Genomic DNA, 26,143 nt, shown 5'->3' on the forward strand with positions numbered 1-26,143 from the left:
TATGCTTACCCTTGGTGGAAGTATACAGTGTCTATTTTGCTCTACATTTCTTTTTTTTTGGAGACGGAGTTTCGCTCTGGTTGCCCAGGCTGGGGTACAATGGTACGATCTCGGCTCACTGCAACCTCCACCTCCCAGGTTCAAGCGATTCTCCTGCCTCAGCCTCCCAAATAGCTGGGATTACGGCATGCACCACCAGGCCCGGCTAATTTTTGTATTTTTCGTAGAGACAGGGTTTCACCATGTTGCCCAGGCTGGTCTTGAACCCCTAATCTCAGGTGATCCACCCACCTCGGCCTCCCAGACTGCTGGGATTACAGGCTTGAGCCACCGCGCCTGGCCCTTTCTTTTTTTTTTTTTTTTTTTTTTTTTTTTTTTTGAGACAGAGCCTTGCTCTGTCACCCAGGCGGGAGTGCAGTGGTGTGATCTCGGCTCACTGCAACCTCTGCCTCATGGATTCAAGCAATTCTTGTGCCTCAGCCTGCCAAATAGCTGGGATTACAGGCATGTGCCACCATACCCAGCTAATTTTTGTATTTTTAGTAGAGACAGGGTTTCACCATGGTGCCCAGGCTGGTCTCAAGCTCCTAGCCTCAAGTGATCTGCCTGCCTCAGCCTCCCAAAGTGCTGAGATTACGGGCATGAGCCATCACACTGGGCCTAGTTTCTTATAATTGTTTAATATGCATAGATTTTGTTTTTCAAAAAATTAAAAGTTCCCTAAGAGCAAGTAATCTTGAAGTTGGAGCAGAGATAGTGATGTCAAAAATAGAGGCTAATTATTAGTCTGCTCAGGACCATACCATGATATGGTCGAGGGTCTGGACCTTAGCTTTACAAGCCAAGAAACTAAATTTTTATCATTAACCCAGATTGATTAGTTCAGAGGAAATGGCTCATTTTGTGCAAGCTCACAAGACACCGATGAATGGGTATCACTATATTTTAGCTGGTCAGGCAGAAATGAGACTTTCTTGAGCTGCTTTACCACACAACTCACCAGACAGCCTCTATGTTTTCTGGGTAGACTAGCCTCCACATTTTTATGTTCAAATGTTCAGGAAACGAGGTCTTGCTCTTTCACTCAGCCTGGAGTGCAGTGGGGTGATCATAGCTCATTGTAGCCTCGACCTCCCTGGTCAGCCTCCCAAATAGCTGGGACTACAGGCACATGCCACCTTGCCCACCTAATTTTTTTATTTCATTTTATTTTTTTTGAGATGGAGTTTCCCTGTTGTTGACCAGGCTGGAGTGCAATGGCGAGATCTCAGCTCACTGCAACCTCTGCCCCCTGGGTTCAAGCAATTCTCCTGCCTCAGTATCCCTAGTAGCTGGGATTATAGGCGGATGCCAAGACGCCCAGCTAATTTTTGTATTTTTAGTAGAGACGGGGTTTCACCATGTTGGTCAAGGCTGGTTTCAAAGTCCTGACCTCAGGTGATCTGCCCGCCTTGGCCTCCCAAAGTGCTGGGATTACAGGCGTGAGCCACCACACCTGGCTTTTTTTTTTTTTTTTTTTTTTTTTTTGTAGAGACAGGGGTCTCACTTTGTTGCCTAGTCTGGTCTCAAACTCCTTGCTTCAAATGATCCTCCCATGTGTGCTGAAATGTTCAGGAAACTTTTCATTTATTTATTTATTTATTTTGAGACGGGGTTTCGCTCTTGTTGCCCAGGCTTGAGTGTAATCAATGGCATGATCTTGGCTCACTGCAACCTCTGCCTCCTGGGTTCAAGCAATTCTCCTGCCTCAGCCTCCCGAGTGGCTGGGATTACAGGCATACTCCACCATGCCCGGCTAATTTTTGTATTTTTAATAGAGACAGGGTTTCTCCATGTTGGTCAGGCTGGTCTCGAACTCCTCACCTCAGGTGATCCGCCCGTCTCAGCCTGCCAAAGCGTTGGGATTACAGGCGTGAGCCACTGCACCCAGCCATGTTCAGGAAACTTTTTTTTAAATTTATTTTTATTATTTTTTTATTTATTGGAGACAGAGTCTTGCTCTGTTTCCCAGGCTGCAGCGCAGTGGCGCAATTTCAGCTCACTGCTACCTCCGCCTCCCAGGTCAAGTGATTCTCCTGCCTCAAACTCCTGAGTAGCTGGGATTACAGGCGCCTGCCGCCACACCCAGCTAATTTTTGTATTTTTAATAGAGATGGGGTTTCACCATCTTGGCCAGGCTGGTCTTGAACTCCTGACCTCGTGATCCACCCACCTGGGCCTCCCAAAGTGCTGGGATTACAGGTGTGAGCCACTGCACCCAGCTTCAGGAAACTTCTAAACTGAAATAGAAACTCAATTGAAACAGATACCCTTGATTTGCATGGGGCCCACAGGGTAAAGTGAGGGAAAGACATTAAGGTTCATACTAGTACTGATTTGATGGCAAGAAGTCCTCGGAAAATGCTGGACTGCCCAGAAAGACAATAGCATCATGAGAAAAAACCATCATGCATCTAGTTGCATGAGCCAGACCAAACAAAAAGGCTGGCTGTTAGAACACACGGTCAGAGGTTTGAGCCTATTTCTGTCCATCTCCCAACATATTATCCCAGTAGCCTGATTTCTCCAAGCACCCAGGGTCTCTGGAAAAAAAGGACTCTGGCAAAAAGAAAAACATGTGACACAAGGGGCCAACAACTCTGAAAGAACAAATTAGAAGGCACAAAAGTTGATCCCCTGTTGGCTGGAAAGGGACATCAACCCATGAAGGTAGCGATATAGAGAAGGTGGACAATGGTGTGGGCAGCACCTGCTTTCAACAAAGTGGAAGCAGTCAACAGAGTAGAGGTCTGCAATACCAGCAGACACCAGAGCAAGAAAATACAGCACTGTAGGCCAGGCATGGTGGCTCCTGCCTGTAATCCCAGCACTTTGGGAGGCTGAGGCGGGCGGATCACCTGAGGTCAGGAGTTCAAAACTGGCCTGGCCAACATGGTGAAACCCTGTCTCTACAAAAACACAAAAATTAGCCAAGCATAATGGTGTGTGTCTGTAATCCCAGCTACTCTGGAGGCTGAGGCGGGAGAATTGCCTGAATCCGGGAGGTGGAAGTTCCAGTGAGCCAAGATCACACCATTGCACCCCAGCCCGTCTAAAAAGAAAAAAAAGAAAATACAGCACTGTACGCGGCAGGTCAGTGATTGTGTGATAGAAACAATTTCCATGTCCATCTTCTGGGTACTCCTAAAGGAAACTATGAGGAAGATTGTATGATTTTGCATTACTTAACTTCTCTGAGAAGGAAAACAAGAGTAATAATAAGTAGAGAGATTTTTACATGTTTCTTTCACTGCTGTGTCTCTAGTGCCTGTAAGAATGCCTGGCACAGGCGGGCGTGGTAATCCCTGTAATCCCAGCACTTTGGGAGGCTGAGGTGGGCGGATCACCTGAGGTAGGGAGTTCGAGACCACCCTGATCAACATGGAGAAACCCCGTCTCTACTAAAAATAAAAAATTAGCTCGGTGTGGCGGCCTGTAATCCCAGCTCTCAGGAGGCTGACGCAGGAGAATTGATTGAACCCAGGAGGCAGAGGTTGCGGTGAGCCGGAGATCGCGCCATTGCACTCCAGCCTGGGCAACAAGAGCGAAACTCCATCTCAAAAAAAAAAAAAAAAAAAAGAATGCCTGGCACAGGCTGGGTGCAGTGGCTCACGCCTGTAATCCAGCACTTTGGGAGGCCGAGGTGGGTGGATCACGAGGTCAGGAGTTTGAGACCAGCCTGACCAACATGGTGAAACCCCGTCTCTACTAAAAATGCAAAAATTAGCCGGGTGTGGAAGTGCGCACCTGTATAGTCCCAGCTACTCAGGAGGCTAAGGCAGGAGAATTCCTGAACCCGGGAGGTGGAGGTTGCAGTGAGTGCTGAAATCCTACCATTGCACTCCAGCCTGGGCAACAGAGTGAGACTCCATCTCAAAAAAAAAAAAAAAAAAAGAATGCCTGGCACAGAGTAGACACTCAAATATTTGTTGAATACATAAAAGATATTCACCACCCAGAACATCCCCTTCTTGTTACCAGGCACATGGAAGGTGTCTGACCAAAATGGTGTCTTTGGCTAATCTCATTAGGTTCCAAAAAGTCCCTGGAGGCTCTACTAGCACCTTGAAATTATCCCACCATTCACTCATTCCATTCATCCATTCATTTACTTAGTTACTAGTCATGTTTATGGAATCTCTACTACGTGCCAGATACTAGCCTAGTACTTGCAGATTTTGCAACTAACTTTTATAGAGTTTATATTCTAGTTGGAACAGGGGTGGAGTTGGGGTGTACAGAGAGGACAGACGAACCATGTTTCTCATCCTTGTTATTTCACCATGTTAGCCACCAGTAAAATTGTAAGCCCTGGCCGGGCGCAGTTGTTCACACCTGTAATCCCAGCACTGTGGGAGGCCAAGGTGGGCAGATCATCTGAGGCCAGGAGTTCGAGACCAGCCTGACCAACATGGAGAAACCCTGTCTCTACTAAAAATACAAAATTAGCTGGGCGTGGTGGCACATACCTGTAATCCCAGCTACTCGGAAGGCTAAGGCAGAAGAATCGCTTGAACCCGGGAAGCAGGGGTTGCGGTGAGCTGAGATCATGCCATTGCACTCCAGCCTGGGCAACAAGAGCGAAACTCTGTCTCAAAAAAAAAAAAAAATTGTAAGCCCTTCTATCATCTGTACTCTCCTATATTCTCCTTCTTATATTTCTTTGTGCTATCTCCCCTTCACTCAGTACTTTAACAAAGTACTAAGACTCTTACTTCTCCCTTGCAAGAGAAAATCTCCAATTACTGGCCGGGAGCAGTGGCTCATGCCTGTAATCCCAGCACTTTGGGAGGCCGAGGTGGGTGGATCATGAGGTCAGGAGTTCAAGACCAGCCTGGCCAACATGGTGAAACCCCATCTCTACTAAAAATACAAAAATTAGCAGGGTGTGGTGGCAGGGGCCTATAATCCCAGCTACCCAGGAGGCAGAGGCAGAAAATTGCTTGAACCCAAGAGACAGAGGTTGCAGTGAGCCAAGATCATGCCACTACACTCCAGCCTGGGCAGCAGAGCAAGACTGCATCTCAAAAAAAAAAAAAAGAAAGAAAGAAAATCTCCAATTACTTTATTTGGTCAAGTTACAAACCCAAAATCAGAGTCAGCTCTGAACTCCTGATTAAAGCATCATATGGAGGTGACTATGTAAATGGTAACGTGCAAGGACAAATTCTAGGACATACCATGGCAAAGAGATTTCTCATTGAATAAGTGGTTTCATTTCATTTTGGGAATAGGATTTAAGGCTTTACACGTAAAGAAAAGAATTTTTACTTCCTGCAGACATTCATTCATTAAATTTTTAAGAATTAATTAGATTCTATTTCATGAGTAGCACAACATAACATCCTATACAGACACAAATATGTGTAAAGTAGACTCAATTCTCTAGCAGATGTCACTTCTGCTAAGGAGACTAGACAGAAAAATACTGTGCAGTTAAATAACACTATAAACAGACATGGTGTTTCTAACATCTCACCCACCCACGCATACCCCTCTCCCAATCAGGTAATTTTCGTCTCTCTTGTCTCCCTGACCACACTGGATTACAGCTGTAACTATAATCAACCATGCTTTTTTTCTTTTTTGAGACAGGGTCTTGCTTAGTAGCCCAGGCTGGAGTGTAATGGTGAGATCATAGCAGGCGTGAACCATACACTCGGCCAATTATGCTCTTGAATTCACCCTAGGCCGGGCGTGGTAGCTCATGCCTGTAATCCCAGCACTTCGGGGGGCTGAGGCAGGCGGATCACCTGAGGTCAGGAGTTCAAGACCAGCCTGGCCAACATGGGGAAACCCCGTCTCTACTAAAAATACAAAAACTAGTTGGGCATGGTGGCGTGTGTCTGTAATCCCAGCTACTGGGGAGGCTGAGGCAGGAGAATCACTTGAGCCCAAGAGGCAGAGGCTTCAGTGAGCTGAGATCGTGACTGAGATCGCGACACTGCGCTCCAGCCCTGGCGACAGACTGAGACTCCGTTTCAAAAAAAAAAAAAAAAAAAGAATTCACCCTAGATTCCTCTGTCCTGTGACTTTCTGTTATTCAACCCAGGATTTTCTTTCCTCTTAATCTCAGGTTGCAGAGTTGCTACCTATTTAATGTTCCACAATCTTGAGCAGGTTGCAATTTTTTTTTTTAGATGGAGTCTCGCTGTGTCGCCTAGGCTGGAGTGCAGTAGTGCCACCTCGGCTCACTGCACCCTCCGCCTCCTGGGTTCAAGCAATTCTCCCAGCAGGTTGCAATTTAATGATTAGGAACAATCTGCATATAGGGCCTGGGAAGTGAGTAAGGAAATTTTACCCCTGTTGGAAGACAGACTTGTGAAACAACTGGGGTATTTAATCCCAGTCCCTGAGACTGAAAGGCTTCCAGAAAAGCAAGTAACACTAAATCAAGAAGACAGTCTAAATTCAGCCCCGCACAGTGGCTCATGCCTGTAATCCCAGCACTTTGGGAAGCCGAGGTGGGTGGATCACCTGAGGTCAGGAGTTCGAGACAAGCCTGACCATCATGGAGGAACCCCATCTCTACTAAAAATACAAAATTAGCCAGGCGTGGTGGTACATGCCTGTAATCCCAGCTACTCGGGAGGCTGAGGCAGGAGAATTGCTTGAACCCGGGAGGCAGAGGTTGCAGTAAGCAGAGATCATACCACTGCACTCCAGCCTAGGCAACAAGAGTGAAACTCCGTCTCAAAAAAAACAAAGAAGAAAAAGAAAAAAAAAAAGACATTCTAAATTCATACCCTGGGGTCATTTTAACAAATGCAGCAAAAATAGGAGAGGCTTATTGAAAGAAAACTGTGCTAATAATTCATTTGGCCAGACAGAAGGGAACGGCCAGGAATGCTCACAAATATAGTGACAGTAATGGTGTCATTCTGAGGCCTTCGCCTCAAGGCAGGGCTTGAAAGGGGATAAAGTCTAATGGCACTAGCTGGCATTTCAAATTCTAGATGCCTGAGGCAGACTGGCACCGAAACAGCTCCTCGTTTCTCTCAAAGTGAACATATAATTCATAGAGGGTTAACAAAATAATATCGTGAAGTTTTTCCCCTTTAAATCTCTAGCGGTGGCGGGGCGCGGTGGCTCACGCCTGTAATCCCAGCACTTTGGGAGGCCGAGGTGGGAGGATCCCTTGAGGTCAAGAGTCCGAGACCAGCCTGGGCAACATCGTGAAACCCTGTCTCTACAAAAAATTAGCTGGGTGTGGTGGCACAGGCCTGTAGTCCCAGCTGCTCCGGAGGGTGAAGTGGGAGGATCGCTTGAGCCTGGGAGTTGGAGGTTGCAGTGAGCCGTGATAGTGCCACTGCACTCCAGCTTGGGCAACAGCCAGACTGTCTCAAAAAAAAAAAAAAAAAAAAAAAAAAAAAAAAAAAAGGCCGGGCCTAGTGGGTCACGCCTGTAATCCCAGCACTTTGGGAGGCCGAGGCGGGCGTATCACGAGGTCAAGAGATCGAGACTATCCTGGCCAACATGCTGAAACCCCATCTCTACTAAAAATACAAAAATTAGCTGGGCGTGGTGGTGTGTGCCTCTAGTCCCAGCTACTGGGGAGGCTGAGGCAGGAGAATTTCTTTTTTTTTTTTTTTTTTTGAGACGGAGTCTCGCTCTGTCGCCCAGGCTGGAGTGCAGTGGCAGGATCTTGGTTCACTGCAAGCTCCGCCCCCTGGGTTCAGGCCATTCTCCTGCCTCAGCCTCCCGAGTAGCTGGGACTACAGGCGCCTGCAACCACACCCGGCTAATTTTTTGTATTTTTAGTAGAGACGGAGTTTCACCGTGTTAGCCAGGATGGTCTCGATCGATCTCCTGACCTTGTGATCCGCCCGCCTCGGCCTCCCAAAGTGCTGGGATTACAGGCGTGAGCCACTGCGCCCGGCTAGGAGAATTTCTTGAACCCGGGAGGCGGAGGTTGCAGTAAGCCGAGATCACACCACTGCACTCCAGCCTGGGTTACAGAGCGAGACTCCGTCTCCAAAAAAGAAAAAAAGAAAAAAGAAAAAAAGGCGCAAAGGCTCCGTTCAGGCCCTAGATCCCGCGATACAAACTTTCTCGGCCCGCCCCAGCCCGCTGTGGCGGGAACATTCTGGAAGTGACGGCAATCTCTGCGGCAGTCTTCTGTCGGAAGTGACGTTGCTATCCCAGAATCCTCAGAGAAGGAGTAGCGCGTTCGTGCGTCCTAGTTCCAGTACAGCGTGGAGGGTTTAGGCAGCGTGTTCTGATTCTTTGCGGGACGGCGAGCGCATTTGTGCTTTGCCCGCCGCGGCCTAGGAGGCCTTTTGAGGCCGCGTAGTCGGTGTTTTTGAACTGACTCTACAGCTTCTGGCAGGCCGTGCGGCGCCCTGACCCGGCCTCACCATGTTGGTGCTGTTTGAAACGTCTGTGGGTTACGCCATCTTTAAGGTAGGTGGGAGAGCGAGCCGTTAAAGGGGGAAGGCGGATGCTGGACAGACGAGGAGAGGGAAAGACTTAAGCACGGAACTACTCAGAGTAGCGTGGGTGCCTGTTATAGCCCGGGCTCTGGGAGGAGGGAGAAGGCCTTTACACCTGAGAGCCATGTTACGTGTAACACGTGGCCCCGCCGTTTGGGGAGACCCGTTCTGCATTAGAGGATTTTATTTCCTCCCGTTGAAGGGGTGGGCAGGAGGCGTGTTAGAATTTAACAGATTATAGGGAATTCGGACTTTATTCTAGATGTTTTGAGGAATGATCGAAAGATTTTTTTTTTTTTTGAGATGGAGTTTCGCTCTTGTTGCCCATGCTGGAGTGCAGTGGCGCAATCTTGGCTCACTGCAACCTCCGTCTCCCGGGTTCAAGCGATTCTCCTGCCTTGGCCTCCCGAGTAGCTGGGATTACAGGCCTCCATCCACCACCACGCCTGGCTAGTTGTTTTTGTTTGTTTGTTTGCTTTTAGTAGAGACGGGGTTTCACCATGTTGGCCAGGCTGGTCTTGAACTCCTGACCTCAAGCGATCCACCTGCCTCGGCCTCCCAAAGTGCTGGGATTACAGGCGTGAGCCACCGTGCTCGGCCAATCGAAAGGATTTAAGCAGAGGAATGACCTGCTAATTTGTCTTAATACGGTTACTCTGCTGTGTGGAGATTAGACTCGAGGAGATAAGAACGGCAGCAAGAATACTTTTGCATTCATTTGGACAAGATGAAATTGCCTGGTATGGAGAGAAACAAATATCGATAGAAATTGTGAAGGTAGAACAGGAAGGACTGGCTAATAGATTGAATGTGGGGTTTTGGTTTAAATAAGATGTTAAGAAAGTTTCTTGGGGAAGGACTAAAGATTTCCGGTTTGGGCTGTGCGAAGCTTGCGTTGTCTATTAGACCTGATAATGCAGTTGTGTAGATCGGGCAGTTCAGTATTTCAGATTTGAAGCTTAGGGGAAAACATCTGGGCTGGTGATGTCAGTTTGAGGTTTGGTTGTTTTCGTGGGGAAAGTTTGACAAGTTCGTCAGCACTGAAATGGTTGAATGGTAAGACATTCGTATCGCAAGATGCTGTTGAGATGTTAGGAAGAATGAGTGAGATTGAGTGCCTTTTCTTGTGCGGTGCAACTCTTCTGAGGTCTGTGAATATAGCAATGAAAAATAAAGTTTTTATGTATATTCTACATATATATATGTTGGTAGAAAGCAAAAACGCTAGGTAAAAATAAATGTAATACAATTTTAGCTATGAACCAAAAAACCATTTGTGGTGTGGATGCAAGAAAGTCTGGATGGGTGCAGAGTTCTCCATGTTTCACTTCTGACATTTGAAAATACGCAGTTTGCATTTGATACGTCAAATGTTATTTTTAAGAAAACCAATAAAATCATTAAAACCGAAAAGGCAGTTTTGCTTGTTTTTACCTTAGTTGGAGTTATCTGCAATTGCCGTATTAGTGTTTTAAGGAACTTGTAAGTAAGCTCCTTAGTCCCCTTTAGAGCTACGAAACATGTCAATTTTACTTTTCTCCAGCTTTTTGGAATCTTATCTAAATTACCATGTAGAGTTCTGCATAGCTTCAAATTCTCTTAGCCAATGTGGTCTGTAAGTGTCTATCGATGAATTTCACCGTTAATTGCCGTAGTATACTGTCCTGTACCGGATGTGAAGAGGAGCAACTCTGCACAGTGCACTGGTTGTCTCCCATGGTAGGAAGGAATTGGCTTATCAATGGTCGGATTTCTAGACCTGGGTCCTAAAATACTCAACCGTGTCTCGATGAATTACTGATTTCTATTAATGAAAAGTGTCCTCCTCCATGAAAATGTCTTTGAGTATTCCGTTGGAGTTTGCAGTGCTATTTATCTGCAAGTTACTGTTCAAAATGATTAAATTGTGGTTTATGTAACCTAGTACTAAAGAAATAACTAGTTAAGCTCGAATATGTTGACATTGATTAGTTTGTAATTATTGGAATTAACATTGATCGTTTCTGAGTATAAAAGACATACAAACGTTCTGGAACTAGTGATGGCTGCACATTTTTGTGAAAATGCACTACTAAAAAGTGAATTGTACACTTTAAAAGGGCAAATATTAAGATACATGTAAAATTAATATGATATATGGTGAATTTTATCTCCTAAAAAAGTAGACATACGGTTCAAAGTTATTAGTTTCCTTTCCCATAATCTTTCAAAATGCTAGGGTATAAAATTATGTTGGTTGCCAGGCATGGTGGCTCATGCCTGTAATCCCAGCACTTTGGGAGGCCGAGGCCGGCGGATCACAAGGTCAGGAGTTTGAGACCAGCCTAACCAACATGGTGAAACCCCGTCTCTACTAAAAAAATAGAAAAATTAGCTGGGCGTGGTGGTGTGCGCCTGTAATCTCAGCTACTTGGGAGGCTGAGGCGGGAGCATTGCTTGAACCCGGGAGGCGGAGGTTGTGGTGAGCTGAGATCGTGCCATTGCACTCCAGCCTGGGCAATAAGAGCACAACTCCGTCTCAAAAAAAAAAATTATATTGGATGCATATAATTCATGCTTTGATGAGAATGCTTTAGGAAGTTTTTTGAAGTTTTTTGTTTTTTTGTTTTTTTTGAGACGGAGTTTCACTCTTGTTGCCCAGGCTGGAGTGCAATGGCGCGATCTTGGCTCACCACAACCTCTGCCTCCCAGGATCAAGCAATTCTCCTGCCTCAGCCTCCCGAGTAGCTGGGATTACCAGCATGCACCACCACGCCCAGCTAATTTTGTATGTTTAGTAGTGACAGGGTTTCTCCATGTTGAGGCTGGTCTCGAACTCCTGACCTCAGGTGATCTGCCCGCCTCAGCCTCCCAAAGTGCTGGGATTACAGGCGTGAGCCACTGCACCTGGCCTTGAAGTTTTTTTTAAACTTCCATTTACAGTGAGGAAAACATTTTATGTATAACCCATGTACACATACAAATTCATGTTTATGTATTTAAAATTTATTTTGAGGCAGGGTCTTGCTCTGTCACCCAGGCTGGGGTGCAGTGGCAGGATCATGGCTCATTGCAGCCTTGGCCTCCTGGGTCAAGTGATCCTCCCACCTCCTCCCGAGTAGCTGGGACTACAGGCTCAAGCCACCATGCCTGGCTAATTATTTATTTATTTGTATTTGTATTTATTTATTTTTTGAGATGGAGTCTCACTCTGTTGCCCAGGCTGGAGTGCAGTGGTGTGATCTCGGCTCACTGCAACCTCCGCCTCCTGGGTTCAAACGATTTTCCTGCCTCAGCCTCCCAAGTAGCTGGGATTACAGGCGTGAGCCACCATGCCTGGCCTAAATTTTTTTTTTTTTTTTTAAGAGGCAGAGTCTCACTATGTTGCCTAGGCTGGTCTCAAACTCCTGGCCTCAAGGTGCTGGGATTACAGCCATGAGGTACGGTGTTCTGCCCACTTATGTGTTTAGAGCGATTCAAAAGGAAAACACTTCCAAAAAGTTATTGCTCATTAACAGGGTTATATATATATAAATGTAAAGACATTGTGTAAAGGAACTGTTGTGATTAATTCTAGGATATTATAAAAATTCAGCCTGTGGCCGAGAGCAGTGGCTCACGCCTGTAACCCCAGCTACTTGGAAGGCTGAGGCAGGACAATCAGTTGAACCTAGGAGCAGAGGTTGCAATGAGCTGCGGTCGCGCCACTGCAGTGCAGCCTGGGCGACAGGGCAAGACTCCGTCTCAAAAAAAAGAAAAAAAGAAAAAAAGAAATTCCACCTGTGTCCTTGTGTCACGTGGCACACAGCATAAGATTTTAGTCTTGCTCATACCAGACTTCCTTCAGCTGCTCTTCCATGTGGTAGCCATTAGTACGTATAACCATTTCACATGAGATGTAACTGATAGGACTGAGGAAGTGAATTTTAACTTACTTGAATTTTAATGGTTATATTGTACAGTGTAGCTGTGTAGCATAGCATTTTGTGTCACTTCATTTTCTCAAGGTTTGGAGAAAGATTTTTGATGTACATACCAAATGTCTATATAAAACCTAAGTACTGAGCAATATATTTTTTCTAACTTTATTGGGTGTACTTTACATACTGTATAACTCACCTATAGGTTTTAGTTACAATCCAGTTTTATAGTACACTTTGTTGCAAAAAGTTCTCATGCCCATTTTCAAGTTAGTCCTGCTCTAGACAACCACTGTTCAGCTTTCTTTTTGCATAATTTTTTCTAGAAGTTTCATGTAAGTGGAGTAGTATTTTAGTCTTTTGTGTTTGGCTTTTTTCACTTAGTGTAATGCTTCTGAAGCTAACCGAAGAGCTTTTTCACATTTGTTGCGTGTATGGATTTGTTTCTTTTTGAGCAGTGCACATTTTAAACTAATTATCAGTTTTATCCTGTATTTAAACAAGTTTCATAAAATATTAACTTGCTCATATTGTCTGTGGAAGTGAAACTTAAAAGTTAGCATCAAATAATTTACACAAAACATAGAGGTTGGGTGCAGTGGCTCACGCCTGTCACCCTAACACTTTGGGAGGGTGAAGCAGGAGGATTGTTTGAGCCCAGGAGTTGCAGACCAGCCTGGGCAACATGGCGGAAAAAAAATTAGCTGGGCACAGTGGTGCTTGCCTGTAGTCCCAGCTGCTGCAGGAGGCTGAGGTGGGAGGGAGGTCACGGCTGCAGTGAGCTGTGATTGAGCCTCTGCACTTTAGCCTGGACAACAGAGTGAGACCTCATCTCAAAACAAAACAAAAACCACACAAAGTCTCAAGCAATCAATTAAAAATGAAAATGAGGAGGCTGGACATGGTGGCTCACACCTGTAATCCCAGCACTTTGGAAGGCTGGGGTGGGCAGATCATGAGGTCAGGAGTTTGAAACCAGCCTGGCCAACATAGTGAAACCCCGTCTCTACTAAAAATACAAAAATTAGCCGGGCATGGTGGTGTGTGTCGCCAAATCTGTAGTCCCAGCTGAGGCAGGAGGATCGCTTGAACCAGGGAGGTGGAGGTTGCAGTGAGAAGACCGCGCCTCTGCACTCCCCAGCCTGCGTGACAGGGCGAGACACTGTCTCAAAAAAAAACAAAAAAAGTGATTAAAATTCTTAATTCCATATACCCTCACCAATATTCTGTATCAGCTGCCCAAGTATTAGATAGGATGGGCTCAATCCTAAAAGGCACAACCCCCATATTTAACATCCCTAAAATTGGGATGTCTTACAATTGATGACAGGTCAATTGGGAGTGTAAAAGAATAACATAAGCTGGGTGTGGTGGCTCACGCCTGTCATCCCAGTACTTTGGGAGGCTGAGGCAGGTAGATTGCCAGACCTCAGGAGTTCGAGACCAGCCTGGGCAACAGGGTGCAACCCCGACTTTACTAAAATACAAAAAAAAAAAAAAAAATTAGCCAGGCATGGCAGCATGTGCCTGTAATCCCAGCTACTTGGGAGGCTGAGGCAGGAGAGTTGCTTTAACCAGGGAGGTGGAGGTTGTAGTGAGCTGAGATCACGCCACTGCGGTCCAGCCTGGCCGACAGAGCGCAAGACTCCGTCTCAAAAATAAAAAAAAAAAGAATAGCATGTTAAATTTTGTGAAATAGAGTATGCACAGATATTATGCATATATTTTTATTTAAAAAACCAGCTGGATCAGGCGCCATGGTTCCTTCCTGCACTCCCAGCACTTTGAGAGGCCAAGGCAAGAGGATCACTTGAGTCCAGAAGTTAGAGATCAGCCTGGGCAACAAAGCAAGCCCCTGTCTCTACAAAAAGATTTTTAAAAGAGCTAGATGTCGCAGTGTGCACCTATAGTCCTAGCTACTTGGGAGGCCGAGGCAGAAGAATCGCTTGAGGCCAGGAGTTTGAAGCTGTAGTGACATAGGACCACACCACTCCACTCCAGCCTGGACAACAAAGCGAGACCCTGTCTCTGGAAAAACAACACAGCTAGTAAATTTAAAACTATACTTTGCTAATAAGCATTATTTATCAAGTCCATAATATAGCACATCTACACATTAAGACGCAGTTCTAGTCTGGTTATATATTATTTTCAGTAAGAGAAACACAATGTTGCAAGTTGTATAAAACTTAGATGAGTGACAAGATGATTTTAGGGGTTTGTTCTGATGTATAATTTTTTTTTTTTTTTTTTTTTTGAGACGGAGTCTTGCTGTCGCCCAGGCTGGAGTGCAGTGGCGCGATCTCAGCTCACTGCAGGCTCCGCCCCCTGGGGTTCACGCCATTCTGTTGCCTCAGCCTCCCGAGTAGCTGGAACTACAGGCGCCTTCCACCTCGCCCAGCTAATTTTTTTGTATTTTTAGTTAGAGGCGGGGTTTCACCGTGTTAGCTAGGATGGTCTCGATCTCCTGACCTCGTGATTCGCCCGCCTCAGCCTCCCAGAGTGCTGGGATTACAGGCATGAGCCACCGTGCCCAGCCTGTATAAATTTAATCACACATGGTTGAATTAGATATGTTGGTAAAAATAACCCAAACTAGAAAAACTTAGAGTCACACAAAGCAATAAACAACTACAAAGCCTAGAGTTGGTATTAACAATTTATAAACTAATAGCTCTAACTTTGTATATCATGAAGTTTTAGAATCCAGAGACACCTCACCAAGTCTCATGACTATACTGAAAACACTGATTAAAATTTTTTGAAATTGTTCAGAGAATGCAGCTAACCATAACTGAAGTTCACTATTTTTAAGAGGACATGTATCAAATAGGGGATATGACTCATGAGTAAAATTCACATTTTTTCTAGCTGAAAAGCAAGTATATTTGAAGATAACATTTGGGTAACAAAATTGCCATATTTAAAAGATACTTTCGGCCTGGCGGGGTGGCTCACGCCTGTAATCCCAACACTTTGGGAGGCCGAGGTGGGTGCATCATGAGGTCAGGAGATCGAGACTATCCTGGCTAACACGGTGAAACCCCATCTCTACTAAAAATACAAAAAATTAGCCAGGTGTGGTGGCAGGCGCCTGTAGTCCTGGAGGCTGAGGCAGGAGAATGACGTGAACCCAGGAGGTGGAGCTTGCAGTGAGCCGAGATCCTGCCATTGCACTCCAGCCTGGGCGACAGAGCGAGACTCCGTCTCAATAAATAAATAAATTAATTAAAAAATACTATCACCATTCTAAAACTGAAGTTAAAATAACAAAGGAAATGTGATAAAATCAGGGCAATTCATGAGCACACAAAGGTCTTCAAAGACTATGTTATGTCAGCCAAAACCATTACTATGACAAATAAAACCATTGTGTTCCCAACTGCAACATCTTGAAGAAAACATTGCTAATAAAGACCATCTAAATAAGAAAGTTAGAGATATTGCTACATTTTCTGTATTACATTTGTCTCAAAGTTTTTATTTGTCTCAAATTTTTAATCATTTCTTTTCAGCCAGGGTAATGATAAATATTTGTATACAGAAATCCATTTTAAGTTTTATCATTTTAAGATAATTTCCATTTCTAAGTAGAAATAGTATACAACTATTACCATTGCAATCTTTAGCATTGTTGTTACAACAGTACTAGTTTTAAAACAAGTCTTTATATTTTATAGATACAAACTGAAATATTAACAGGTAAAAATTAAATGTCTAGGTCTTGCTTCAAAACAATACAAGGCGGCTGGGTGTGTTGGCTCACGCCTGTAATCCCAACGCTTTGGGAGGCCGAGGCAGGTGGATCACCTGATGTCAGGAGTTCAAGACCAGCCTGGCCAACTTGGTGAAACCCAGTCTCTACTAAAAATACAAAAACTAGTTGGGTGTTGTGGTGCGTGCCTGTAATCCCAGCTATTCAGGAGACTGAGGCAGGAGAATCGCTTGAACCCGGGAGGCGGAGGCTGCAGTGTGCCGAGATTGCGCCACTGCACTCCAGCCTGGCGACAGAGTGAGACTCCATCTCAGAAAAAAAAAAAAAAAGCCATTTACTGTGATTCCTAAAAGTATGCATGAACATGTGTTGCACAGACATTCAAAGTCTTGGAGAATATATACCTAAATGTTGATAAGTATATTGTTGATTAAAGTACCCTATGTTTCTTTTGCATTTAAAAAATTTCTCACATCTAGATGTGTCTCACAATTGACGATAGTTTTAGAGAAATCCATAATACTTTCATGTTAGGATGATCATAGCAGTAAATAACGAATATAATCTATTGAAAGTAGACAAAAGTTTTTTTTGTTTTTTGTTTTATTTTTTTGAGATGGAGTTTTTTGCTCTTGTTGCCCAGGTTGGAGTGCAGTCGCGCAATCTCGGCTCACTGCAACCTCTGCCTCCGGGTTCAAGCAATTCTCCTGCCTCAGCCTCCCGAGTGGCGGGGATTACAGGCATGTGCCACCACGCCCAGCTAATTTTGTATTTTTTTTTTTTTTTTTTTTTTGTAGAGACGGGGTTTCTCCATGTTGATCAGGCTGGTCTTGAACTCCTGACCTCAGGTGATCCGCCTGCCTCAGCCTCCCAAAGTGCTGGGATTACAGATGTGAGCCACCATGCTTGGCGCAAATTAAAGTTTTTAATGATTACAATACTTTACTGTAAAGGGATTAATGGCTCTTTTAAAAGAAAGGTTCTCGGCCAGGTGCAGTGGTGCACACCTGTAATCCCAGCTACTCAGGAGGCCGAGGCACTAGAATCTCATAAACCCAGGAGGTGAAGGTTGCAGTGAGCCAGGATTGCTCCACTGCACTCCAGGCTGGGCTACAGAGCGAGACTCCATCTCAAAAAAATAAAAAGAAAGGTTCCCTGCCCTACCCCCTAGGACCCCATAGCTCCAGCTACGGCCCAAGGCTGGGGCAGGAATATCTCTTGAGGCCAGGTAGATTCTAGACTGAATAGCCACTGTACTACAGCTGACTGGACTAGATCTGAATTCCATTTAGCTGTTAAATGGGCAATTCGAACTAGTAATTTGACCAAAATTACATGCAGGGTAAGAAAACTAGTTCATTATCTTAGTGAAAGAAATAGCTTCTACACCTTCATTTTACATGTAAAATTGTATTTGAAGAATGCAGCTGTATATGCCTCACCTGTACCATTTAAATAAAACTATTTAAACATTTTATTACAGGTTCTAAATGAGAAGAAACTTCAAGAGGTTGATAGTTTATGGAAAGAATTTGAAACTCCAGAGAAAGCAAACAAAATGTAAGTACTCTTGAAATCAATAATTTAGCAGTTAACATTTAGGGCTTGTTTTATTTTTTACATTTTTCCCTGATTTATATAATGTTACATTCGTAGTTTTCTGTTTTGAAATCTGTTTCAGGAATAATTTTGGTATGAACCTAATTATTACAAATGTTTTACTTGGAATATAGGCCATCTCAATTAATTTGAAGGCAGTAGTCTCCCCCTTACCCACAGGGATTATGTTCCAGAAGACCCTGTGGATACTTTAAACCTCGGATAGTACCAAATGTGATTGCTGTCAGTAGGAACACATTTGTCTTCGTGTCTTCCACACACAAATGTAATACCTTTTTTATCTTAACTAAGCACTTACCGCACACAGGGGTTGTAACCTGCTTTTTGAGTTTTGCAACATCAAAACTAGCATGAACTACTTTTTCTTTCATCACAATTTCATGGAAGATTCATTCTTAGTGTAGATGTTAAATCTTTGGTTTTTTTGTTTGTTTTTTGAGACAGAGTCTTGTTCTGTCACCTAGGCTGGAGTACAATGGCGCAATCTCTGCTCACTGCAACCTCCGCCTCCTGGGTTCAAGCTATTCTTCTGCCTCAGTCCCCCAAGTAGTTGGGATTACAGGTGCCCACCACCATGCCCAGCTAATTTTTGTATTTTTAGTAGAGACAGGGTTTCGCCATGTTGGTCAGGCAGGTCTCAAACTCCTGACCTCAGGCGATCCGCCTGCCTCGGCCTCACAAAGTGCTGGGAGTACAGGCGTGAGCCACCACACCTGGCCTAAATCTTCGTATTTGTATGTATATTTAAGGGACCACACTAGTATGTTCCCTTACCAGATAAGAAAACCTTGCTTAAGATGACACTGTTGCCTGGTGTGGTGGCTCATGTCTGTAATCCTAGTACTTTGGGATACCAAGGTGGGTGGATCATTTGAGGTCAGGAGCTCGAGACCAGCCTGGCCAACATGGTGAAACCCCCTCTCTCCTAAAAACACAAAATTAGCCGGGCGTGGTGGCACATGCCTGTAATCCCAGCTACTGGGAGGAAGCTGAGGCAGGAAAATCCCTTGAGCCTGGGAGGCGGAAGTTGCAGTGAGCCGAGATTGCGCCACTGCACTCCAGTCTGGGTGTCAGAGTGAGACCCTGTCTCCAAAAAAAAAAAAAAAGATGACACTGTTTTAGGCAACTAGAAGACTAGTTTTCCTTCTTAAAGGGTTATATGCTTTGTTGGGTTAATCTGATTCGTTGTTGTCAATGATGTATTCTTCTTGGAACTGAATCTAAGTGATCTGACTCAATATTCGTCACTACCACTGAGACAACGATGAATCAACTATATGTTTCTTTCTGGATAAAATACTACCCTGAGGCTGGGCGTGATGGCTCACACCTGTAATCCCAGCATTTTGGGAGGCCAAGGCAGGCGGATCAGTTGAGCCCAGGAGTTCAAGACCAGCCTGGGCAATATAGGAAAACCCCATCTCTACCAAAAACAAAAATTAGCTGGGTGTGGTGGTGCACACCTATAGTCCTAGCTGCTTGGGAGACTGAGGCTGGAAGATCCTTTGAGCTCGGGAAGTCAGGGCTGCAGTGAGCTGTGATTGCACCACTGCATTCCAGCCTGGGTGACAGAGTGAAGTGAGACCCTGTCTCAAAAACATAAAGGGGGCCGGGCACGGTGGCTCACGCTTGTAATCCCAGCACTTTGGGAGGTCGAGGTGGGTGGATCACAAGGTCAGGAGTTTGAGACCAGCCTGGCCAATATGGTGAAACCTCTTCTCTACTAAAAAATACAAAAAAATTAGCCAGCCATGGGGGCTGGGCACGGTGGCTCACGCCTGTAATCCCAGCACTTTGGGAGGCCAAGGCGGGCGGATGATGAGGTCAGGAGATGGAGACCATCCTGGCTAACACGGTGAAACCCCGTCTCTACGAAAAATACAAAAAATTAGCCAGGTGTGGTGGCGGGTGCCTGTAGTCCCAGCTACTTGGGAGGCTGAGGCAGGAGAATGGCATGAGGCAGGAGAATGGCATGAACCTGGGAGGTGGAGTTTGCAGTGAGCCGAGATTGCGCCACTGCACTCCAGCCTGGGCGACAGAGTGAGACTCTGTCTCAAAAAAAAAAAACAAAAACTAGCCAGGCATGGTGGCACAGGCACATGCCTGTAATCCCAGCTACTTGGGAGTCTGAGGCAGGAGAATTGCTTGAATCCGGGAGGCAGAGGTTGCAGTGAGCCGAGATCGCACCACTGCACTCCAGCGTGGGTGACAGTGAGATTCTGTCTCAAAAAAAAAAACAAAAAACCATAAAGGGTTAGGATGTAACAAGAATGAGACCTGACAATAAGCTATTTTTTTTAATGGCATTTGTACAGGATAGACAAATGAATATCATGAGATTCCTAAAAAGGACTCACGTACGTTTTCTTGAGTCAATTCTATGCTGTATAATAAAGTCATCTCTGTACAGCTTTATGCAACAGGGGTTTGTATTAAAGCTTCAACATCTTTACTCTTGGCCAAAATTTCCTCCAAAGCCTACAACTTTCTTTTAATAATCCAAGCATTACTAGCCTAACATTTAGAAAAACTAGTAATTGTATGAAGAATATCTAACTTCACACCCTGATACACAATGGTAGGCATGTTTTATTGGTGTGTGCTTTGGAAACAGTCAAGCACTTCTTTCCAAGTTATGTGGCTTTTGAATCAACGCACTGCCCCCAATAACATGTTTATCTCTTTTTTTTTTAATTCTAGAGTAAAGCTAAAACATTTTGAGAAATTTCAGGATACAGCAGAAGCATTAGCAGGTAAAGTAAAAAATTAGAAGCTTGCTTTTTTGAAAAAATTAAGTCTTAGCCGTTTGTTTTTCTTGTTTAAAAGGTTGTTTGCTTCAGTTGCCTGTGTTAACCTTATTCAATGTTGTCAATGATGCATTCTTATTGGAACTGAATTTAAGTGATCTGACTCATTCGTCACTACCACTGAGACAACATTGAGTTAGCTTTTTTCACCATAGGGCTGGTTTTCCCCATGTGTGAGGAGAGGTGAGAAGTGGTTAAGTTGATCTCCCTGTGGAAACCAGCAACATAATGCTGAAGCACAATTCAGTAAAAGGTGTTCTACAAGGGACCAAGGTAATGTGGTCAAGTATACAGCTCTCTCCTCATTTTAATCCAAGGGTAGAGTTGTAATCCTGAGAACAGCCAGGATTCACAGTTGAAAAATAATTTAAAAAGCTCTTCTGGGGGTATAGATTTTTAGTTCAAAAAAACATATCAATATTCAGAGTTATACAGAAACTGACAGAGGTGTTATTTTTAAAAGATTCAGAAGAATGGATGACTCATACTCTTCAACTAGATTTCATCACGGGACAACAGAGTGATCGGGTTTATTTACTGTAATTGACTGCAGTAGGTCTTACAGTTTTGTTTTTTTAAGTGTTAGGGAAAACAGGAAGAGCAGATATAAAGCCCAAATCATTAAATTTTCAACTGCCTGAATTCTTTATCACAAATCAGCCAACTATTTGGCGGTGTAGTTTGAAAATGAAGGACCGTGAGGAAGAATATGGCTTAAAGCTGGGCAAGAATATGACAGATGCAAAAAATTTTGTTAAATAACCACAGGAGAAAGGTACAGTTTTTGTCTGAAAATTTGGAATCCAACTAAACATGCTGGAACATAACAGACCACCCTAACCTTGGCAGAGGGGTAGGCTGAAGGAAGACCCATAGGGCCAGTTTCTTTGTTTTATAAACATAGTTCTAGGGCTGCTTCACCAACTCTTCAGTAATTAGAGTTATATACAGCCATAAAAAAAACTGTGGTAATATTAACTTGGAGAATTTTTAAAAAGATAGCCTGTTCATCACAGCTTTTAAGTATGGGTAAACATTTGGTAAGATTCCAAGCAAGATTGTGTTAGCTGTATTCAAACTCTAGGGGGTGTTGTTGACATAGACTGGGATATGAACAGTTCCTAGTCCTGATCTCAAGTAGCCTCTTCTGAATTCCTTTTTGCATACGATCTTTAATCTGCTTGGGATATATCTGGCCAGTCCTTATTAAACTGTATTAAATGGACAAGCCAAGCTTTTGCTCAAACAAGCAGGTTTTTACTATTAATACCTAATATATTGAGCACATACTGATTGTCAGATTTATGCTTATGATTTCATAATTGTTATTTAATTCTTGAATCCTGTGAGGCAGATAACCATCATCTCTATGTTACAGATGATAAAACTTGAAATTTAAGCAGTATTTCCAGATTCATTTACCTAGCTTCTTTGTATTATTTAAAATAATGTACAATAAGGCTGGGTGCGGTGGCTCATGCCAGGAATCCCAGCACTTTGGGAGGCCAAGACAGGCGGATCACCTGAGGTCAGTTCAAGATCAGCCTGGCCAACATGGTGAAACCTCGTCTCTACTGAAATTACAAAAATTAGCCGGGTGTGGTGGCACACACCTTAGTCCCAGCTACTCGGGAGGCTGAGGCAGGAGAAACACTTGAACCTGGTAGGCAGAGATAGCACTGAGCCAAGATTGCACCACTGCACTCCAGCCTGGGCAACAGAGCGAGACTCCTTCTGGAAAATAACATAAAATTAAGTAGTGTACAGTAAATGGACAAAATGCCATAGTAGTTGAGAATTTAAAGTCAATTCCCCCCAGTCTAAGCTCCATGAGGGCAGAGACTGTTCTGTACTGTCAAATTCCTAGACGCTAGCAAAGTATACAGCTATAGAAGGTTTATAATAAATATTTTGGGGAAAATGAATGAAAATAGTGAATTTTATCAGGAATGCTGTCATAGAAACATTTACAATGCCTTTTCCTATCTGTTTTCACCAGAAAGTTAAATGAACATCAGCTAATTAAGAAAGCAGAATCCTTCCCCTGGGAATTCAGTTCTCACTGCCTATTATAAGGCAGTTTTGACATGACAGAACCACAACTAAATGGCTGTAAATGTCACAGTGTACATTTTAAACCTCATAGCCTTAGAGTTTGATGAGACCAGGCACAGTGACTAACACCTGTAATCCCAACACTTTGAGGGGCTAAGATGGGCAGGAATTTAAGATCAGCCTGGGCAATATAGCAAGACCCCCTCTCAAAAAAGATTTTTTTTTTTTTGGAGATGGAGTTTCATTTTGTCACCCAGGCTGGAGTGCAGTGGCATGATCTCGGCTCACTGCAGTCTCCACCTCCTGAGTTCAAGTAATTCTCCCAGGAGGCTGGGTTCAGCCTCCAAAGTAGCTGAGATTACAGGTGATACCACCATGTCCAGCTAATTTTTGTATTTTTTAGTAGAGACGGGGTTTTGCCTGTTGGCCAGGCTGCTCTGGAACTCCTGACCTCAGGTGATCCACCCGCCTTGGCCTCCCAAAGTGCTGGGATTACAAGCATGAGCCACCGTGCCTGGCCATCATTTTTTTTTTTTAAATAAAGAAATAGGGTCTGTTGGGGTGTGATGTTGAATTTGTATTGGTCTCAGACATTCATATATGCTATTTGCATGAAGTGGTTTATTTTTATTCTTGATTGTGTTTTCAACTTGCAAGTCTTTTTTTTTTTTTTTTTGATACTGATCTTCGGCTGGAGTACAGGGGCGCGATCCCAGCTCACTGTAGTCTCTGCCTCCTGAGTAGCTGGGATTACAGGCTCATGCCACCACGCTCACCTAATTTTTGTATTTTTAGCAGAGATGGGGTTTCACCATGTTGCCTAGGATGGTCGCATCTCCTGACCTCGTGACCCGCTCACCTCAGCCTCCTGAAGTGCTGGGATTATCCATTTGATCATAATTCGAATGGATATACGATCAGGAGGGAAGAGCAAGACCTGACTTATTAAGCACAAACTGCCTGACCTTGGAAATTGTTGATAGACCTTCATTCCTGCCAAGCATTTTTCTTTTCTTTTTCTTTTTCTTTTTTTTTTTTTAGATGGAGTTTTGCTCTTGTCACTTAGGCTGGAGTGCAATGTCACGGTATCACTTTAACCTCCACCTCTGGGTTCAAGCGATTCTCCTACCTCAGCCTCCCGAGTAGCTAGGATTACAGGCGTGAGCCACCAGGGCCAGCTAATTTTTGTATTTTTAGTAGAGTGTTTCGTCATGTTAGCCAGGCTGGTCTCTCGAACTCCTGACCTTAGGTGATCTGCCAGCCTCAGCCTCCCAAAGTGCTGGGATTACAGACTTGAGCCACCACGCGCAGCCCAAGCATACTTTTTATGTTTTTTGTTTTTGTTTTGTTGAGACAGGGTCTGTCACCAGGCTGCTGGAGTACAGCGGCATGATCATGACTCACTGCAGCCTTGAACTCCCTGGGCTCAGGTGATTGTCCCAGCTCAGCCTCCCCAGTAGCTGGACTACAGGCACATGCCACCACACCCAGCTAATTTTTGTATTTTTAGTAGAGACAGGGTTTCGCCGTGTTGGCCAGGCTGGTGGTACACACCACCATGCCTGGGTAACCCAAGCATACTTTTACCTCAGTCAAATGTCAGATAAATTTCAGAAGAGGTATTAGTTCGTGTGGGTCCAGAAAAAGGGAATATAGGTCTAAGGAAGGGTGAGAAATATAAAGCAGCTGATTTAGAACTTGCCAGAAATACCAGCGGTCTCAAAATAGAATAGGCAGCCTTTGCTACTAAGTTTTACATTGCTGGAGGTGTACAAGTGGAGATACAAGCAAAGCTAAGGCCTTCACTCAAACATGTTTATATTATGGCAGAACTTTGAAAATGATTACACTCATTTTTACTAGTTTTGATGTGATTTTAGGATATTTCAGGACAGTCTATTTGAAATGACAAAGGAAAGTGAGTCTGTTTTGTCTTCCCAAAAAGATTGTTTCTAAGATTTCATGATTCTCCCTTGAGTTCATGAGAAGATTCTTGTGAGAAGGAAAGAAACCCTGGACCTGATTTTACCCCTGGCTCTGTAGCAAAAATGAGGGTGGGAAGATCAAATGAAATTGTGAAACATGTAACTTATAAAACATATATCATTTCATTTCAGAAGTAACATTAAATTCAAGCCCTTTGAAAGGCCTATTTTATTTTTTTAAGTGTCAACTAGGGCAAGGTCTCAAAGTTAAAAATTTGAGAGTTAATGCTTTTGTTTTTCTTTTTCTTGAAAAGCATTCACAGCTCTGATGGAGGGCAAAATCAATAAGCAGCTGAAAAAAGTTCTGAAGAAAATAGTAAAAGAAGCCCATGAACCGCTGGCAGTAGCTGATGCTAAACTAGGAGGGGTCATAAAGGTAAAGTCACGATATTTTTGGTCATGCCTGCTAGTCAGATCTCACAGCATACCAACTACAAAGCCTAGCCTTTGCAATAAGTTGCTTATCATAAATTCTCAATACATTTTTTTCTTTTCTCTAAGCTACATGATAATGGATTTCCCCTAACATCAGCTGAACTGAGCAAATAAGTAATACCTATTTGTTCTAGAAGATATAGAAGAACAAAAAATGATAAAAATTGACTTTAACAAATCTGCTACCCATATATAATGTTAATGTTCTATGTATATCATGCCATATTTTTGTCTAGCCACATTTTTTTCCAACGAAAATGGGGTCCTTATATTTTTTAGAAATATATTTATTAGAAAACTTTTAGTAGGGGTGTATTGCTGGAGATGAAATAAAATGTGAGAGTGGAAAGAAAGACTAGGAAAATAGCCTCCCAAATACAGAAAGCAGAACAATTCGGGCGGGGCGCGGTGGCTCACACCTATAATAATCCCAGCATTTTGGGAGGCCAAGGTAGGAGTATCACGAGGTCAGCAGATCGAGACCATCCTGGCTAACACAGTGAAACCCTGTCTCTACTGAAAATACAGAAAATTAACCGGGTGTGGTGGCAGGCGCCTGTAGTCCCAGCTAATTGGGAGTGCAGTGGCGCAGTCTCACAGCTCACTGCAGACTTGACCTCCTGTTCTCAAGCAATCCTCCCTCTTCAGTAGCTGGGACTACAGGCACATGCCACCATGCTGGCTAATTATTTTATTTTATTTTATTTCATTTATTTGAGACAGAGTCTCACTCTGTTGCCCTGGCTAGAGTGCAGTGGCATGATCTCGGCTCACTGCAACCTCTGCCTCCCGGGTTCAAGGGATTCCCCTGCCTTAGCCTTCCAAGTAGCTGGGATTACAGACGCCCGCCAACACGCCCTGGCCTCCCAAAGTGCTAGGATTACAGGCATGTGCCACCACGCCCAACCTGTAATTTTTTTTTTTTTTTAAGACGGAGTCTCACTCTGTCGCTAGGCTGAAGTGCATTGGCTCAGTCTTGGCTCACTGCAACCTCCGCCTCCTGGGTTGAAGTGATTCTCCTGCCTCAGCCTCCCGAGTAGCTGGGACTATAGGCACCTGCCACCACACCCGGCTAATTTTTGTATTTTTAGTAGAGACGGGGTTTCATCATGTTGGCCAAGATGGTCTCGATCTATTGACCTTGTGATCCACCCGC

At 44.1% G+C, this 26,143-nt stretch overlaps 1 protein-coding gene and 2 non-coding genes across 3 annotated transcripts in view; all 3 read left to right on the top strand.

Annotated features, from left to right (window-relative positions):
• Window positions 1-8,218: 8,218 nt before the first annotated feature.
• Window positions 8,219-26,143, top strand: part of NOP58 (NOP58 ribonucleoprotein) — a 37,899-nt gene continuing 19,974 nt past the window's right edge. The window contains exons 1-4 of the mRNA NM_015934.5: window positions 8,219-8,442; window positions 17,569-17,645; window positions 20,406-20,458; window positions 24,807-24,928. Of these exons, the coding sequence (NP_057018.1) occupies window positions 8,398-8,442; window positions 17,569-17,645; window positions 20,406-20,458; window positions 24,807-24,928 (297 nt within the window). The 5' untranslated portion in view covers window positions 8,219-8,397. The remainder of the gene's footprint in view (window positions 8,443-17,568; window positions 17,646-20,405; window positions 20,459-24,806; window positions 24,929-26,143) is intronic.
• SNORD70 (small nucleolar RNA, C/D box 70) lies at window positions 18,887-18,974 on the top strand. The gene has a single exon (NR_003058.1). It is a non-coding gene; the product is annotated as a small nucleolar RNA, C/D box 70 (small nucleolar RNA).
• Window positions 20,569-20,643, top strand: SNORD70B (small nucleolar RNA, C/D box 70B). Its single transcript, NR_145774.1, has one exon. It is a non-coding gene; the product is annotated as a small nucleolar RNA, C/D box 70B (small nucleolar RNA).

Source organism: Homo sapiens, chromosome 2, assembly GCF_000001405.40.
Source record: "Homo sapiens chromosome 2, GRCh38.p14 Primary Assembly".
Taxonomy (NCBI): Eukaryota; Metazoa; Chordata; class Mammalia; order Primates; family Hominidae; genus Homo; species Homo sapiens.